General features: G+C 38.4%; 1 protein-coding gene across 1 annotated transcript in view, besides 2 other annotated features; it reads left to right on the top strand.

Moving 5' to 3' along the window:
- The window catches only part of VNN1 (vanin 1), a 33207-nt gene extending 18758 nt beyond the window's left edge, over window positions 1–14449 (top strand). Inside the window, exons 3-7 of the mRNA NM_004666.3 lie at window positions 1116–1308; window positions 1983–2274; window positions 2714–3075; window positions 10793–10963; window positions 11976–14449. Coding sequence (NP_004657.2) covers window positions 1116–1308; window positions 1983–2274; window positions 2714–3075; window positions 10793–10963; window positions 11976–12158 — 1201 coding nt within the window. The 3' untranslated portion in view covers window positions 12159–14449. The remainder of the gene's footprint in view (window positions 1–1115; window positions 1309–1982; window positions 2275–2713; window positions 3076–10792; window positions 10964–11975) is intronic.
- Window positions 10294–10463: an enhancer, noted in NCBI's record as "experimental_89871 CRE fragment used in MPRA reporter constructs". NCBI's record gives its function as "activates a minimal promoter by MPRAs in K562 erythroleukemia cells, with activity observed for both the introgressed and non-introgressed 6:133006059 variant alleles {active_cell/tissue: K562}" and the evidence as "EXISTENCE:reporter gene assay evidence [ECO:0000049][PMID:34662402]".
- Window positions 10796–11995: an enhancer, noted in NCBI's record as "MED14-independent group 3 enhancer chr6:133004442-133005641 (GRCh37/hg19 assembly coordinates)". NCBI's record gives its function as "activates an origin of replication core promoter dependent on BRD2, BRD4, P300/CBP and CDK7 cofactors, and independent of MED14, by STARR-seq in HCT116 cells {active_cell/tissue: HCT116}" and the evidence as "EXISTENCE:reporter gene assay evidence [ECO:0000049][PMID:35650434]".

Raw genomic sequence — 14990 nt, 5'->3', positions numbered from 1 at the left:
ACTAGAGCTCCAAAATAGTAATATTAGACAGATTCCAACAGTGCAATTGTTATCTAGGTGGGGAGAAAAATTCCCTGCTCTGCTATCTTCCCAGCATCCCTCTACCTCTAAATTTTTGTTAACTCATTCAAAAAAATTTTTTTTTGAGATGGAGTCTCACTCTTGTTGCCTAGGATGGAGTGCAATGGCATGATCTCAGCTCACCACAACCTCTGCCTCCCAAGATCAAGCAATTCTCCCACCTCAGCCTCTTGAGTAGCTGGGATTATAGGCGCACGCCACCAGGCCCAGCTAATTTTGTATTTTTAGTAGAGACGGGGTTTCTTCATGTTGGTCTGGCTGGTCTCGAACTCCTGACCTCAGCTGATCCACCCACCTCGGCCTCCCAAAATGTTGGGATTACAGGCATGAGCTACCACACCTGGCCCCCCAAAATTTGTTTTTTGAGACAGGGTTTTGCTCTGTTGCCCAGGTTGGAATGCAGTGGAACTCACTGTAGCCTCAAAATCCCAAGTTCAAGCAATCATCCCACCTCAGTCTCCCAAATATCTGAGACTACAGGCACACACCACTATGCCTGGCTATTTTTTTTTTTTTTCATTTTTTGTAGAGAGACAGTCTTGCTTTGTTGCCCAGGCTGGTCTCAAACTCCTGGGCTCAAGCAATCCTTCCTCCTTGGACTCCCAAAGTGCTGGAATTACAGGCATGAGCAACCACACCCACCCCAAGATATTTTTTAATGCCTCTCTTCTGTTAGACAAAATTTTAGTAAACGGGATATGTAAGTCATTGATCTATGATATCCACAGGATGCTGCAGACATTATAAGACAAACACGTAAGTGAAAATATGACTATAGATTACGATAAATGCTATGAAGAAAAAATACGTGGTCTGGAATCTTATCCTACAGTAGGTTCCTACAACCAATTTTACTCAAGCATGGGCTTCCTCTGAACTCCTTTCTTGTCTTAATACTTCTCTTCTAATTATTGTTATTTAGAATTTACTTTTGCATATATCAAATAATAGGTTTAGGCAACTATCATTCAGGATTTTGTTGAGAGTTAAGATTGATTTACAAAGATTTTTTTCCTCCAATAAACATGTATCAGATTTGGCCAGACCCCAGTACAAGAAAGACTCAGCTGCCTGGCCAAGAACAACTCTATCTATGTTGTGGCAAATATTGGGGACAAGAAGCCATGCGATACCAGTGATCCTCAGTGTCCCCCTGATGGCCGTTACCAATACAACACTGATGTGGTATTTGATTCTCAAGGAAAACTGGTGGCACGCTACCATAAGGTAAAATTAATTTGCAAATAATCCAATTAGTTAATGCCTAATGAAATAAAGTGGGCAAGGAGAAAAATATGTTATTGATAATGATAAGCACACTTTAGAAATCGAGTAGGGGCAAAGCATAGAAAGTAATGATAAAGCGTGGAAAGCTCCTATAAAGAGGCTTAAGGGGTTCCGTGTACATATAAGAACACAGGAGTGTGTTTTCAGGAGTGTGTAGCAGTCAGAAAGTGCCGCATGCATTATGTTGCCTAATGTTGCCTTTTGGACTTTGTCCTTTTAAAGGCATACCCTGGCAATGGGTCAAGGCTAGAATGAAAAACTGCTTACCACATAGACTCTGTCTTGAGGAGAATGGAACAAACAAAGTTCCTTGCCAAGGAAAACAGTTAAGTCTACTTGGCAAACAGAAGTAATCTATTTTATGTCTTATAAGATTCCAGTGGGTCTTTATAGATAAAGATACCCATGTACATATTTGTAATGTGGAGACTGAACTAAAGGCCCAGTTTAGCTAGAATGGCCTCTGATTCTCTAAAGCAAACTCATTTCCCATGAAAACACTGATCATAGATGAAATTGGCACTAAGATGTGAGCTTGTACTTTTTCCCACACTGTGATGTCCAGATCAACTTCCTAAAATAATTTTTTTCTCTTTATCTTCTGTTTATTGCAGCAAAACCTTTTCATGGGTGAAAATCAATTCAATGTACCCAAGGAGCCTGAGATTGTGACTTTCAATACCACCTTTGGAAGTTTTGGCATTTTCACATGCTTTGATATACTCTTCCATGATCCTGCTGTTACCTTGGTGAAAGATTTCCACGTGGACACCATAGTATTCCCAACAGCTTGGATGAATGTTTTGCCACATTTGTCAGCTGTTGAATTCCACTCAGCTTGGGCTATGGGCATGAGGGTCAATTTCCTTGCATCCAACATACATTACCCCTCAAAGAAAATGACAGGTAATGTGTGATCTTAAAGATATGCAGGCTGATGTAATCAGAAAAGAAAAGAAAAAAAAAACATGTTTTTCTAGCTAACGCATACTCCTTAATACAATGTTTTCCAGCTCTTAATTTTTGAACATCTAGCTGTTAATATGCTATAGAATCAATCTCAGTCTAAATTGTTTTGTAGATTTATTTGGTTTTATTTAACTTGATTTTTTTTTCAAAATATATGACTTCTTACATACAACTCTCCCTTCTTGGCTTCTTGGTTTCATACTTTAATTGATTTCCTCTCACTTCTCTGTCTTTATCAGCATGTTTTACTGAAATTAATAAAACATATAACTTAGAGAGAGTAAAATGTGAATATGAGGTTAAAATAGTAATAACAATTATGAAATCCCTTTTTACTTTCCAATTTCAAATGATGTTTTCAACTTATTACTTCCAGGAAGTGGCATCTATGCACCCAATTCTTCAAGAGCATTTCATTATGATATGAAGACAGAAGAGGGAAAACTCCTCCTCTCGCAACTGGATTCCCACCCATCCCATTCTGCAGTGGTGAACTGGACTTCCTATGCCAGCAGTATAGAAGCGCTCTCATCAGGAAACAAGGAATTTAAAGGCACTGTCTTTTTCGATGAATTCACTTTTGTGAAGCTCACAGGAGTTGCAGGAAATTATACAGTTTGTCAGAAAGATCTCTGCTGTCATTTAAGCTACAAAATGTCTGAGAACATACCAAATGAAGTGTACGCTCTAGGGGCATTTGACGGACTGCACACTGTGGAAGGGCGCTATTATCTACAGGTAATATTTTGATGTCAGAAGAGTTACTGGATAAAATAAAGACACTCAGTTAAATATACAGTTTAGATAAATAATGAATGATTTTTTAGTATAAGCATATCACACTTTTGGGGATTTATGTATGCTAAAAATTTTGTTGTTTATTTGAAATTCAACTTTAGCTGGGAAGCCTACAAATACAGGCTAAATTTATTTGCTAAATCTTTTTTTTTTTTTTTTGAGACAGAGTCTCACTCTGTAGCCCAAGCTGGAGTGCAGTGGTGCATCAGCTCACTGCAAGCTCTGCCTCCTCGGCCAAGCAATTCTCACGCCTCAGCCTCCCAAGTAGCTGGGACTACAGGCGAGTGCCACCATGCCTGGCTAATTTTTTTGTTGTTGTTGTATTTTAGTAGAGACAGAGTTTCACCATATTGGCCAGGGTGGTCTCAAACTCCCCGAGCTCAGGTGATCCGCCCACCTCAGCCTCCCAAAGTGTTGAGATTATAGGCATGAGCCACCGTGCCCTGCCTATTTGCTAAACCTTGAAACCTTAGATGTCAGTTCAATTTTAAGCTGATTGGGAAAAGGCAGGACATTTACTTGCAGTAGCAGTATTAAAAATAAATATTCAAATTACAGATCATTATAACAGGAGTTCATTGAAAACCCATTTTATTTCCTGCCTGAACAAATTAAGCCATTTTCCTTATATGTTCACAAATGCCTATCTTGCTTTATAAAGAGTTTGACACTAAGTATATCCTGGATATGAATGGGGTTGACCACCAAGATAGTTCAATGGAATGGTTTATTGCTGCAAAGATCCAATCTCTCATTGCTCGCAAGTGGCCTCCATGGTCCTCTCATTCTTCTCTTCTCTTCCTTGGTCTGGCCCCCATCTTATCTCACTTAACAGGGCTTCCTATTGACAGTCTGACAATCTCAGCTCCATCCAGTCAGTTCTCCATATTGTAGTTACAGAAATCACAAAAAGCTGTTTTTGATTATAATACTGTCTGGCTTAAAATTCTTCACTGACTTCTAATTGACAAATCAAATTTCTTAACATGAAAGACACACAAAGTCTAGATGTGTGGTCCCTTCCTATTCTCTATCCTCTAATCTCACTTCTACTTACAAATATCCTGGGCTTCTGCAATATTGAAATATTTTCCCATCTCCTATTTGCTAGCATATGCAGAACCTCAAGGTGTTTGCACAGATTGTTTGGTCCTTTATCCGTGGCGAGCCCCACCTACTAATCTTTCATAGCACTTTTCTGGTGTTATCGTCACCAAGAGGGGTTCCTGGATATTTCCCACAGAGCTACTCCTACCTCTCCAGATGAGTTAAGTACATCCTTTATGTGCTCCCAGGACACCCTATGCTTAGCTTTATCAAAGACATATTATGTCATAGTATTCACTTACTTATTTGAGACTGAGAACCCCTTGAGTGCTGAAATTATGCCAACTGCACAGTATTTTGTTTGCTCTATGATAACTACCCTAACAATACTTTTTCGTTTTAGCAAATGAAGGCCTACTATATGCCAGGTATTTATTTAGTGTTAATGATATGAAGATAAATAAGCATAGATCCTCCTCTTGAAGAATTCAGTCTTTAGTAATGGAGAAAGACATTTGAACAGATAATTTCAGCATAGGTTGGCATGTGATTGTCCGTAGAATGCACATTTTGCTGGAGGAGTACTAAAGAGCTCTACTTAGATTAATTTGGGAATGCAGGGAAGTTTCTGGAGCTGATGCTATTATCCAGGTGAAAAAGAGTAGGAGGGGATTCTTTGTGGTGTGAAGAGCATGAACAAGGGTGTGGATGCAGGCAGGAGCAGGGTCTGCAGGGAACAGCAACAGGTCAGTGCTACTAAGGCAACTGAGGCATGGCTTGCGAAGCTGGGTTTGGTGGGAAATAAGCCTGGAAGCAACATCCTGTCCTGCAGGATCTTACCTAGCACACTTAAGATTCAGCCTTTATTCTGTGGGTGATGGTCAGCTGGTGGAAGTGGTCCAGTGAAGGAATGATGTGGTCAGATCTACCTTTGAATATATCATTTTTACTACTCTGTAGATGATGGAGCAAAGACCCAAAAGACTAGATTATTAAAATAGTCTTATTAAGGGTCTGGACCAAGACTGTGTTTGTTGGAATAAAAGCAGGGCATGGAGTCTAGACATATTTAGAAAATGGAACTCAGTGGCCAATTTGATGTGGAACAGGAAAACGGAATGGAGAGTCCAGAATGTGGCAGATTTCTGGCAAGAATGGCTGGGTGGGTGAGATGCATCTGACAGATCAGGAGGCAAGAGAGGAGCAGACTCACTGACAGTGGGTAGAGGCTGAGTTCAGTTATAGATGTGCTGGTTTTGAAGTAGTTATGAGACATTCAGCTGGACCCAGCCAGTTGTCTGTTGAATACTTTGGTCTGATGCTTAAGGGAGATACTAGAATTAGAAATATTGTTTCAAAAATCAGCAAGATACAAGGGGCAATTAAGCAAACAACAGTGAATGATACGACAAAGGAGACTGTACTGACAGTAAAGAACTATTGACAAAGTAGAACCTTTGGGAGCTTCGGTATTTGGGGCAGGAAAGGACAGAGGACAAGAAACCTGCAAATACAATTAAGAAATAAAGGAAAATTTAAAAAGAGAACATCTGGTAGATGCCAAGGAAGTAGAGACTCTTGGAGGAAAGAAATCATGAGGTGTATTAACACAATACGTTGACCATTATTAGCATTTTTGAGTATAATTTTGGCAGAATTTTCTGAGCTCATAATGATAGGATGATGGGCAGATTATATTGGGTTGAAAAGTCAAAGGGAAGTGAATGCACTTTTTTCCCCAAGAAATCTTATCTGAGACAAGAAGAAGAGAAGCAAGACAATGGTTTAACAGAGACTCATGGTCAGGAGAAATGTGTGTGTATGTGTGTATGTGTGTGTGTGTGTTTCTCAACAAACGAGAGAGCCTTGATTGCCTTTGTAGGTCTAAGAGAAAGAGCTACAAAAGGAAAAAATACATAAAATATGAGAGGAATCAGGTCCAGTGCAGTGGCCTGTAATCCCAGCACTTTGGGAGGTCAAGGCGGGCAGATCATCTGAGATCAGGAGTTTGTGACCCCTGTCCAACATGGTGAAACCTGTCTCTACTAAAAATACAAAAATTAGCCAGGCATGGTGGCAGGCGCCTGCAATCCCAGCTACTTGGAAGGCTGAGACAGGAGAATTGCTTGATCCTGGGAGATAGAGGTTGCAGTGAGCTGAAATTGTGCCACTGCACTCCAGCCTAGGCAACAGAGTGAGACTCTGTCTCAAAATAAAATAAAATATACAAGGAATCATTACTCCTACTCAGTGTTCCAAGGTGCTGGAGGAAAGAGGGAAAAATAGTATCATGAACACAGGTACAAAATGTCCAACAACTGGAAATTAAATGAATCATATTGTAGAAGAACATTTATTGCCATAAAATTATTACCATATACCATATGTTATATTAACATATATAGCCTTATATATGTGACATTCATATGGTATTATATTGCTATATAAATTTTTAAAATTAAAATATAAATTGTGATGTATTATTTTTAAGTTAAAAAAAGTTGGTCACAAAACAAGAGAGTAATCTCTTAGCTCTTCTTCCCTCCTTTTCCTTCCTGCCTCCTCAATCTTTTCCTACCTTTTTACCTCCTCCAGAGTCTTGGCTCTACCTAAAGAGAGTTGTGGGAAGTTCTTTCTTAGTGTTGTGAGGTAGGTTAGCTTTGTCAAGTAAAACCAAGCTTTCTGTTTATCTTGCTAGACGGTGATATTTCATCTAAACGATTGGTACCAGATATGTTTTGGAATCTTCCTATTTAAAGATAATAATACATATTACTTGATATTACCAGCAGAGTCTGGGAAAATACCCAGAATCAAACATATTAATATATCTATTGGAAAACATGGGATTATTCACCTTAAATAGCTTGAATAAAAATGTTATAGCCTTATGTTAATTCAAGTTAGGTCTTAATGCCAATGTGCCAGTGGGTTACAAAAATCCTTTATTTTCAGAAGATTTTGGATTTTTGTATTGAAGATAAGGAATTTTGGTATAATATTATATTTATAATTTTTCATAGTCTAACTGTGATGATATATTATGCTTGAAAAATCTCGATTATCACCAAAAGCTACCTCCAAACCAAGGGAAGAGACACAAAGAGAGGTAAAAGTGAAATAAACCCCTATCTTGCCACACAGATTTTCCAAGCATTTTATAGCAAATATGCATAATTTTGTTTATATCAGTATGTCATTGCAAACATCACTCAGAGTTTTGCTTTTATAGTTTTTCTTTGTTTTTCCTAAAGTTATTAATTGCCTTATTTTTTTAAATTTCGTTAATTTTCTTTGACTTTTTGTTAAAACCCCATATCTTCCAACAGCATCTCAGAATAATTTTTCCACAATATCATTTTCATAAGTTTATCTTGAGCTAAAAATAATAACCTTTCTCTGCACTGGTTTCCCTCTAGTCATTCTGCACAGTTGTCATATTGAGATTTCCTTTACTGTCATCCTAGGAATGCTCTCTTAGCTATTTCCTTGTTTTAGGTTCTCTGTTTTTCTCCTTCTACCTTTATTTGCTCCTTTGTTCTGTTGTAGTCAACGCTGTCTAGTCACATTGCTCTAATCTGAACTGGCTGCTCTCCATGCCTTGTATACGATAGGAGTCATCCTGGAATCTCCCTTTATCCTCATGGTGAAGATTTTTCTTTACCACTTCCCTGTGTGGATTTCCTGTTTTCTGTTCCCCGTCTTCCTTGTTTTGGGCTTGTGCCCTCTTTCTTGTTGTTAACAGTTTCCGGAAAGAGAGTGATCGGGATGCAAGATTTTTGAGACTCACTGGTCTGAAACTGCCTTTCCTCTTAAATTTAGTTAAGTATTTCCCTGGGCATGGAATTCAAAGGTGGTTATGACTTTTCTTCAGGATTGTGAATGTATTTATATCCTCCCATCTTACGTTGCTATTGAGAATTCTGAAGTTCTTCTGATTCCTGATTCTTTGTATGTGTATTCCTCATTCCACACCTTCCCCAGAATGCATGCAGAATTTCTTCCTTTCTATTTTCTTTTCTCTTTTTCTGAAACTCTTATTATTGGGATCTTCTGCCTCTTGGATTAGGGCTCTAATTTTCCGACATTTTCTCTGCTATTTTTTACTACTTTATTTTTCTCCTCTACTTTCTGAGAGATTTCCTCCTCTTGATCTTCCAAATCTTGTACTGAATCTTTTATTTTTGTTAACATGTTCTTAATTTCCAAGAACTCTTTTTTCTTGTCTTCGGAGTTTCAACACTTATTGTTGTTTTGTGCATGTATTATTTTTTCTTCTCTCTCTGAGGCTATTTAGGAAATTTTTTATTGAAGCTCCTCCCCCCTGCTTCCTTCAAGTTGCTTTTATCTGCTTTTTTATTTGCTTTTTCATGCAATAAGTTTTTCTCACATGTCTGGTAACTCTTGGGGATTACCAAAAACTCATAGAAAATTCTGACCATGTGAGTAACACTTGCCAATTTTGAGCTTCATGATAGAATGATCTAGCTGGACCTTTTGCTGCGGGGAAATCGGAGGTAAGTGTCTTTGGAGACTTCCTCTTGGGATGGTCAGGTCTCCCAGGTTTCAAGATTCTTCTAATTTCCTTCTTGAATCAGTTGCCTAATTTAGGAAATAAAAATACAGGATCTCCAGGTAAATTTGAAGTTCAGATAAACTTTGTTTTTTTTGAGAGAGTCTCTTTCTGTTGCCAAGGCTGGAGTGCAGTGGCATGATTTCCGCTCACTGCAACCTCTGCCTCCCGGGTTCAAGCAATTCTCCTGCCTCAGCCTCCCGAGTAGCTGGGATTACAGGTTCATGCCACCACTCCCAGCTAATTTTTTATATTTTTGGTACAGATGGGGTTTCCCCATGTTGGCCAGGCTGGTCTCGAACTCCTGACCTCAAGTGATCCGCCTGCCTCGGCCTCCCAAAGTGCTGGGATTACAGGTGGGAGCCACTGCTCCCAGCCCAGATAAACATTTTTTTTAAAAAGTGTAAGTATGTCCCATTCAATATTTAAGACATACTTATACTAAAAAATTATTTGTTGTGTATCTGAACTTCACATTTAACTGGGAGTCTTGTCCTGTGTTTTACCTGGCAACCCTATTCCTGAAAGATAAATCCTTGCTGACAGCATTAGGGATCCAAGTGAGGAAAATGGCCTTGCAAGGTGTGGGTGGGGGTGGAGGGGGAACGTTTTCAACATTCAGTGTTATTTATTCAGGTAATCCCCTTCAACTATGTCTCTTAAACTTTCATCTAAAGACCATCCACTTTACCCTCTCTGGAAACATTCTCCGTTATTTACTGGAGTAGGGGAGGATCAGTTATCTGGTTTTTTGGAGGACTTAGTATCCAAGGCATCCTTCACAACTTTCTGCTCATTTATTTTCCTTTGACTGCCACAACTTTACTCCTAGCTCTAGGTATAGAGCAGTCCCAGTGATTAATTTGAGTGCTTTGCAGTGTAGATAGGGATTCTTGGCTCTTTCTACTGCTAGTTTAGGACCTGGTTTTCTTGGGTCTGCTGAATCAATTACTACTTTTTGTATCAACATCCTAGTTTTTAAAACTGTGTTGTGGTCTATCCTCCTATTTTCCTACCTTTGTGGGTTAAAAAAAATAGTGTTCTTTTGAAGGATTGTAGGAAATAAAATTGAAGCATATGTTCATTCTACCTTTACCTGAAAGTTACTTCTATCCCATCTTAATACACTTGCACTGAAGTGATTACTTTCCACCTGCAAAGTGGAAACAATAAGACCAGTTAGCGGCTGCTGCTTTAGTCAAGCAAGAGATGAAGGTGACTTGGAATATGCTGTACAGATGGCATTAAATGAATATGGATCTCCTTTTGGAAACTTTTCATCTGCATGGTGAGATGACTCACATACTTAGATTTTATATTCAAATAGCTACGTACTATAGTGGAAGAAAAACTTAATGGAGAAGTGTTTCAGTTCTTGCGCAGTATAGAGGATATGACTTTTCCAGATTACAGGGGTTGCCTCTAGGTCAACTCTAGGGCTCATTACAACTCTGAAGCTCTTTTATTGTGTGAAACAGGCAATAAGATATGATTTACACAGGTGCCTAAATTAAACCTTTAAACACATTTTAAATTCTTGATAATTAAAATCATTAGTAACTTGAGAACAATGAAGATATAGCTGTTCATGGCTATAGGCCAAGGATCTGATTGCTTTTACAGGGCTAATCTTTTTGACAGTGAATTGCAGGAGGCACTGGGGCTTAAAGCCCTTTATTTTTATTATTAGTTGTATTAATTATTCAGTGATAAACTGGATGACTCTAATGAAGAAGTAACATTATTTTACCAAATAAAGTGGCATAGGCATTTTTCTAGATCAAGAGAGTATTTCAGTTGACTTTCTCATGTTTTTTTTTTAAGAGCATCTAGCAGTTTATTTAATTATTTTATTCTATTTTTTATCTTTAAAATTTATCCTAGCTTTATTGTCATTAACAAATGAAAATTGTATATCTTTACAGTGTATGATGTGACGTTTTGATATGTGTACACACCGTGAAATGATTAAATCAAGCAAATTCACATATCCCACATGACTTTCTTATGACTTACTGGTTTTCATGACTTCCCTAGATTTGTACCCTGTTGAAATGTAAAACGACTAATTTAAACACTTGCGGTGACTCAGCTGAAACAGCTTCTACCAGGTTTGAAATGTTCTCCCTCAGTGGCACTTTCGGAACCCAGTATGTCTTTCCTGAGGTGTTGCTGAGTGAAAATCAGCTTGCACCTGGAGAATTTCAGGTAAGAATCTTCGAATATTGCCAATTAGTTTCATGTAAGAGGAAGCACTTTTTGATATAAAAATCTGCTCAAGTGCTTACAAATATCATAAAATTTCCATTTAGAAAGGTTAAGATTATCCTTGGGGATCATGAAGGACATTGAGCAGGCTGCATTTCTTGTCTGGAAATTCTTAACATAATAATTACTGTGTCCTTCAGAATAAAAAAATATATATCTTATTTTGGGGATTATAGGGAGTTTAAAGTCTTCCAAGTAGAAAGAAGATTCAACGAGAGTAGTTTCAGAACCAGTGCCATTGGAGCCCCTTAGGACCACTGGGGAGTGATGGCCTAGGGAAGTTGAAAGGAGTCCCTCTCGTCGAGTGAGTCAAGGCTCTGTGTGATGGTAGAAGGAAAAGAGACAAGGAAAAGCTGAAGAAGAGAGAATTTGACAGTGGCGGATGTTAGCAAAAAAGCAAAAACTTTTTAAAGTTCAGAAATAATCCCTTGCTTCACATGTGCTCTGCCCAGCCACATTCTTTCGCTGACTTCCTGCAAGTTCTCCTCCCACTCCCCGTTCCTGGTAGAAACCACTGCTGGGGTGTGGGAGGACAATGGAATGGTGAGGAGGTTGTGGTGAGCAAGAGACAGGAGATGACAGATGCTCAGTTCAAATCCCTGTTAGTCAATTGCTTCGGGCCATTGTGGGGAGTCTTTATCTTGTCTGAGAGGACTAGGTTTCTCTTCTGTATACTGCCAAATCCACTGGTTTGTGTTTATTAACTCTTACGGCGCTTCCACAGGTAAGTAAATTAGAAGACATTGATTACGGGCATCTCACTAATAAATGAATCAGTGCCAGTTTCATAGCTCCAATTTTTCTTGTACTTGGCAACATTTCAAATTTTTCTGATAGAATGGAATTTGGCCAGTATTTTTGTTTCTTCATTCTGTTATAGTAAATTTTAAAAGTGATTTATGGGATTGTAAAACTTGAAGGTAGCCTTTGCCTACTTTTTTGTTTTAATCAGGTGTCAACTGACGGACGCTTGTTTAGTCTGAAGCCAACATCCGGACCTGTCTTAACAGTAACTCTGTTTGGGAGGTTGTATGAGAAGGACTGGGCATCAAATGCTTCATCAGGCCTCACAGCACAAGCAAGAATAATAATGCTAATAGTTATAGCACCTATTGTATGCTCATTAAGTTGGTAGAATATTGACTTTTTCTCTTTTTTATTTGGGATAATTTAAAAAATGATGGATGAGAAAAGAAAGATTGGTCCGGGTTAATATTATCCTCTAGTATAAGTGAATTACTAGTTTCTCTTTATTTAGACAAACACACACACACCAGATAATATAAACTTAATAAATTATCTGTTAATGTAGATTTTATTTAAAAAACTATATTTGAACATTGGTCTTTCTTGGACGTGAGCTAATTATATCAAATAAGTATCACAAATCTTTTACGCAGAAGAAATAAAAACTACGGGTAGAAAACATAAGAACTATCATAAAATTTACTTACAAGGAGGCTGCTCTTGTTACCACTTTTATTATATTACGTATCACTTATTCAGCTCTGCTGAAAATTTCCAATGACTTTGTTTGTTTGCTCTTTTTGTTTTTTACCTAAACAATACATTTTGATTCTCTTGTGGGTTGATAATGTCTCCCCAAAATTTACATGTTGAAGCACCTCAGAATGTGACTGTATTTGGAGACAGGGTCTTTAAAGAGGTAAAATAAGGTCATTAGGATAGACCCTAATTCAATATGACTGATGATCATAAAAGAAGAGGCGAGTAGGGCACAACAGGCACAAAGGGAGACCATAAGGAGACACAGAGGAAGGACAACTCTTTACAAGCTAAGAAGAGAGGGCCTCAGAAGAAACCAACCCTGCCAACACCTTGATCTTGGACTTCCAGCCTCCAAAACTATGAGAAATAAATTTCTATTGTTTAAGTCACCCAGTCCATGGTACTTTGTTAGGCAGCCCTGGCAAATGAATCAAAGACCCATTCCTGTTCCTCTCCCCACCACTACTGTTTTCTACTGTAATCTGAAGCTTCAACAAAAGGCTTACCTGGTAAGAATATTCAGCTGGTCTGGGTCCTCAAGACTCCAATAGACACTCTTAGAGAAGGATTGCTGATGGATTGATAGTGAAACCATTAGATCATTGAATTCCTCTGGAATTAGAAAACCAGAGAGTCCCATTTTAAGAAATTAGATATTTAATATAGCATTGTGTGTTCTATTTTAGTAACAGCAGAATCTCTTGACATTACACAACTCAGTGAAACAACATCATTTAAGCCAAAATATCTCCCAACTGACTGATAGACTCTGAGCACTAATATCATAGTGCTGTGATGATGGACAATTACATAGTACCGATAACAGCCATGCACTGTGCAAAGCATGCCCTTCTGCACAGGAGAGCAAGGCACTTGCAGTAGTGATCTATGCCAGCAAAACATCATTTTGAGACAAACATTTTTGTGGCAGATGTTTTTCCTAAAAAGTACTATATCATCCAAGAAATATTTGAGTAAAATCCCTTGTTCTTTTGGGTGACATTAACTGACATTTGCTTTTTTTCAAGACCTAATAGAAAATAAGAAAGCCCATAATGTATTTAGAAACAGGAATCCTCAGAGCAATTCTCTGTATTCTCATATAATTTCAATGTAAAACAGAAAACATATTGATGTGTTGGTGATAGGCTTGAATTATTAAAAACTTCAAAAACATCCTAAGTGTTTCTTTTTTGCTCAACGTTGTCAACTATAGTAGGTCTCCCTTGTGGTGTAATGAATTGCCCCCAAACTATTATCTTAAAACAACAAACATTTATTATCTTATAGCATTTCTGAGGGTCAGGATCTGGGACTGGCTTAGTGGAGTTGTTCTGGATCAGGGCCTTTGGAAAGTTGTAGTTAACTTGTCCCCAGGGCTGCCATCATCTCAAGGCTCGGGTGGGGCTGGAGAAAATCTGCTTCTCAGCTCACTCACGGCGGTTGCCAGGCCTCCATTCTTTAGGATGCTAGAAAAACTTTCATAAAATGTCATCTGGCTTCTCCTAGAGCAATGATACTGAGAGAGAAAGCACATGAGAGAAAGAGCGAGGGAACTTGGATGTAAGCCACAGTCTTTGAAAACCTAATCACAGAAGTGACATCTCTTCTTCCACATGATGTTGGTCACATGGACCAACAATGGCACAACGTGGACAGAATCAAACAGAGTTGAGAATATCAGGAGGTGGGGCTTCATGGGGGCCATTTTGGATGCTATCATAGTGAATATATGTATTTATATTTATATCTGTATATATTGCAATGTAATTTAAAAAATAGGATTGTTTTCCTTTTCTTTTTGCTATATGTGATATGTATTTCAAAATACACTCCCAATAGTTACGTCTGAAAAGCACTACACTAAAAAACTTTCTATACATTGAATAATTAAATTAAATAATCTAATAATCTCTACTTTTGGTCCATAGTAAATTTAAGTTAACTGTTTGCCTTAACTACAGTTTGTGGCAAAACCATCTCCTTTTAATATACACAAGGGACTTTTTTTTTTTTTTTTGAGACGGAGTTTTGCTCTTGTTGCCCAGGCTGGAATGCGATGGTGTGATCTCAGCTCACTGCAACCTCTGTCTCCTGGGTTTAAGCGATTCTCCTGCCAGAGCCTCCTGTGTAGCTGGGATTACAGGCTGGGATTACAGGCATGCGCCACCATGCCTGCCTAATTTTGTATTTTTAGTAGAGATGGGGTTTCTCCATGTTGGTCAGGTTGGTCTCGAAACCCGAGCTCAGGTGATCCACCCGTCTAGGCCTCCCAAAGTGCTGGGATTACAGGCGTGAGCCACCATGCCCGGCCCGTGGGACTTTTGCATTCATTTTTCAGAAGCTTACTTTGTAGGGGAACATACATTAAAAGGTAACAAAATAAACAGCATAAGTTCCAGAATTATTAATTCATGAAGTGCAACCACTAGGAAAAGGGGTCTTAAAAACATCACCC

Source organism: Homo sapiens, chromosome 6, assembly GCF_000001405.40.
Source record: "Homo sapiens chromosome 6, GRCh38.p14 Primary Assembly".
NCBI classification, from domain to species: Eukaryota; Metazoa; Chordata; class Mammalia; order Primates; family Hominidae; genus Homo; species Homo sapiens.
The sequence above is the reverse complement of the archived record's forward strand: the minus strand, read 5'-3'. Positions and strand labels throughout refer to the sequence as shown.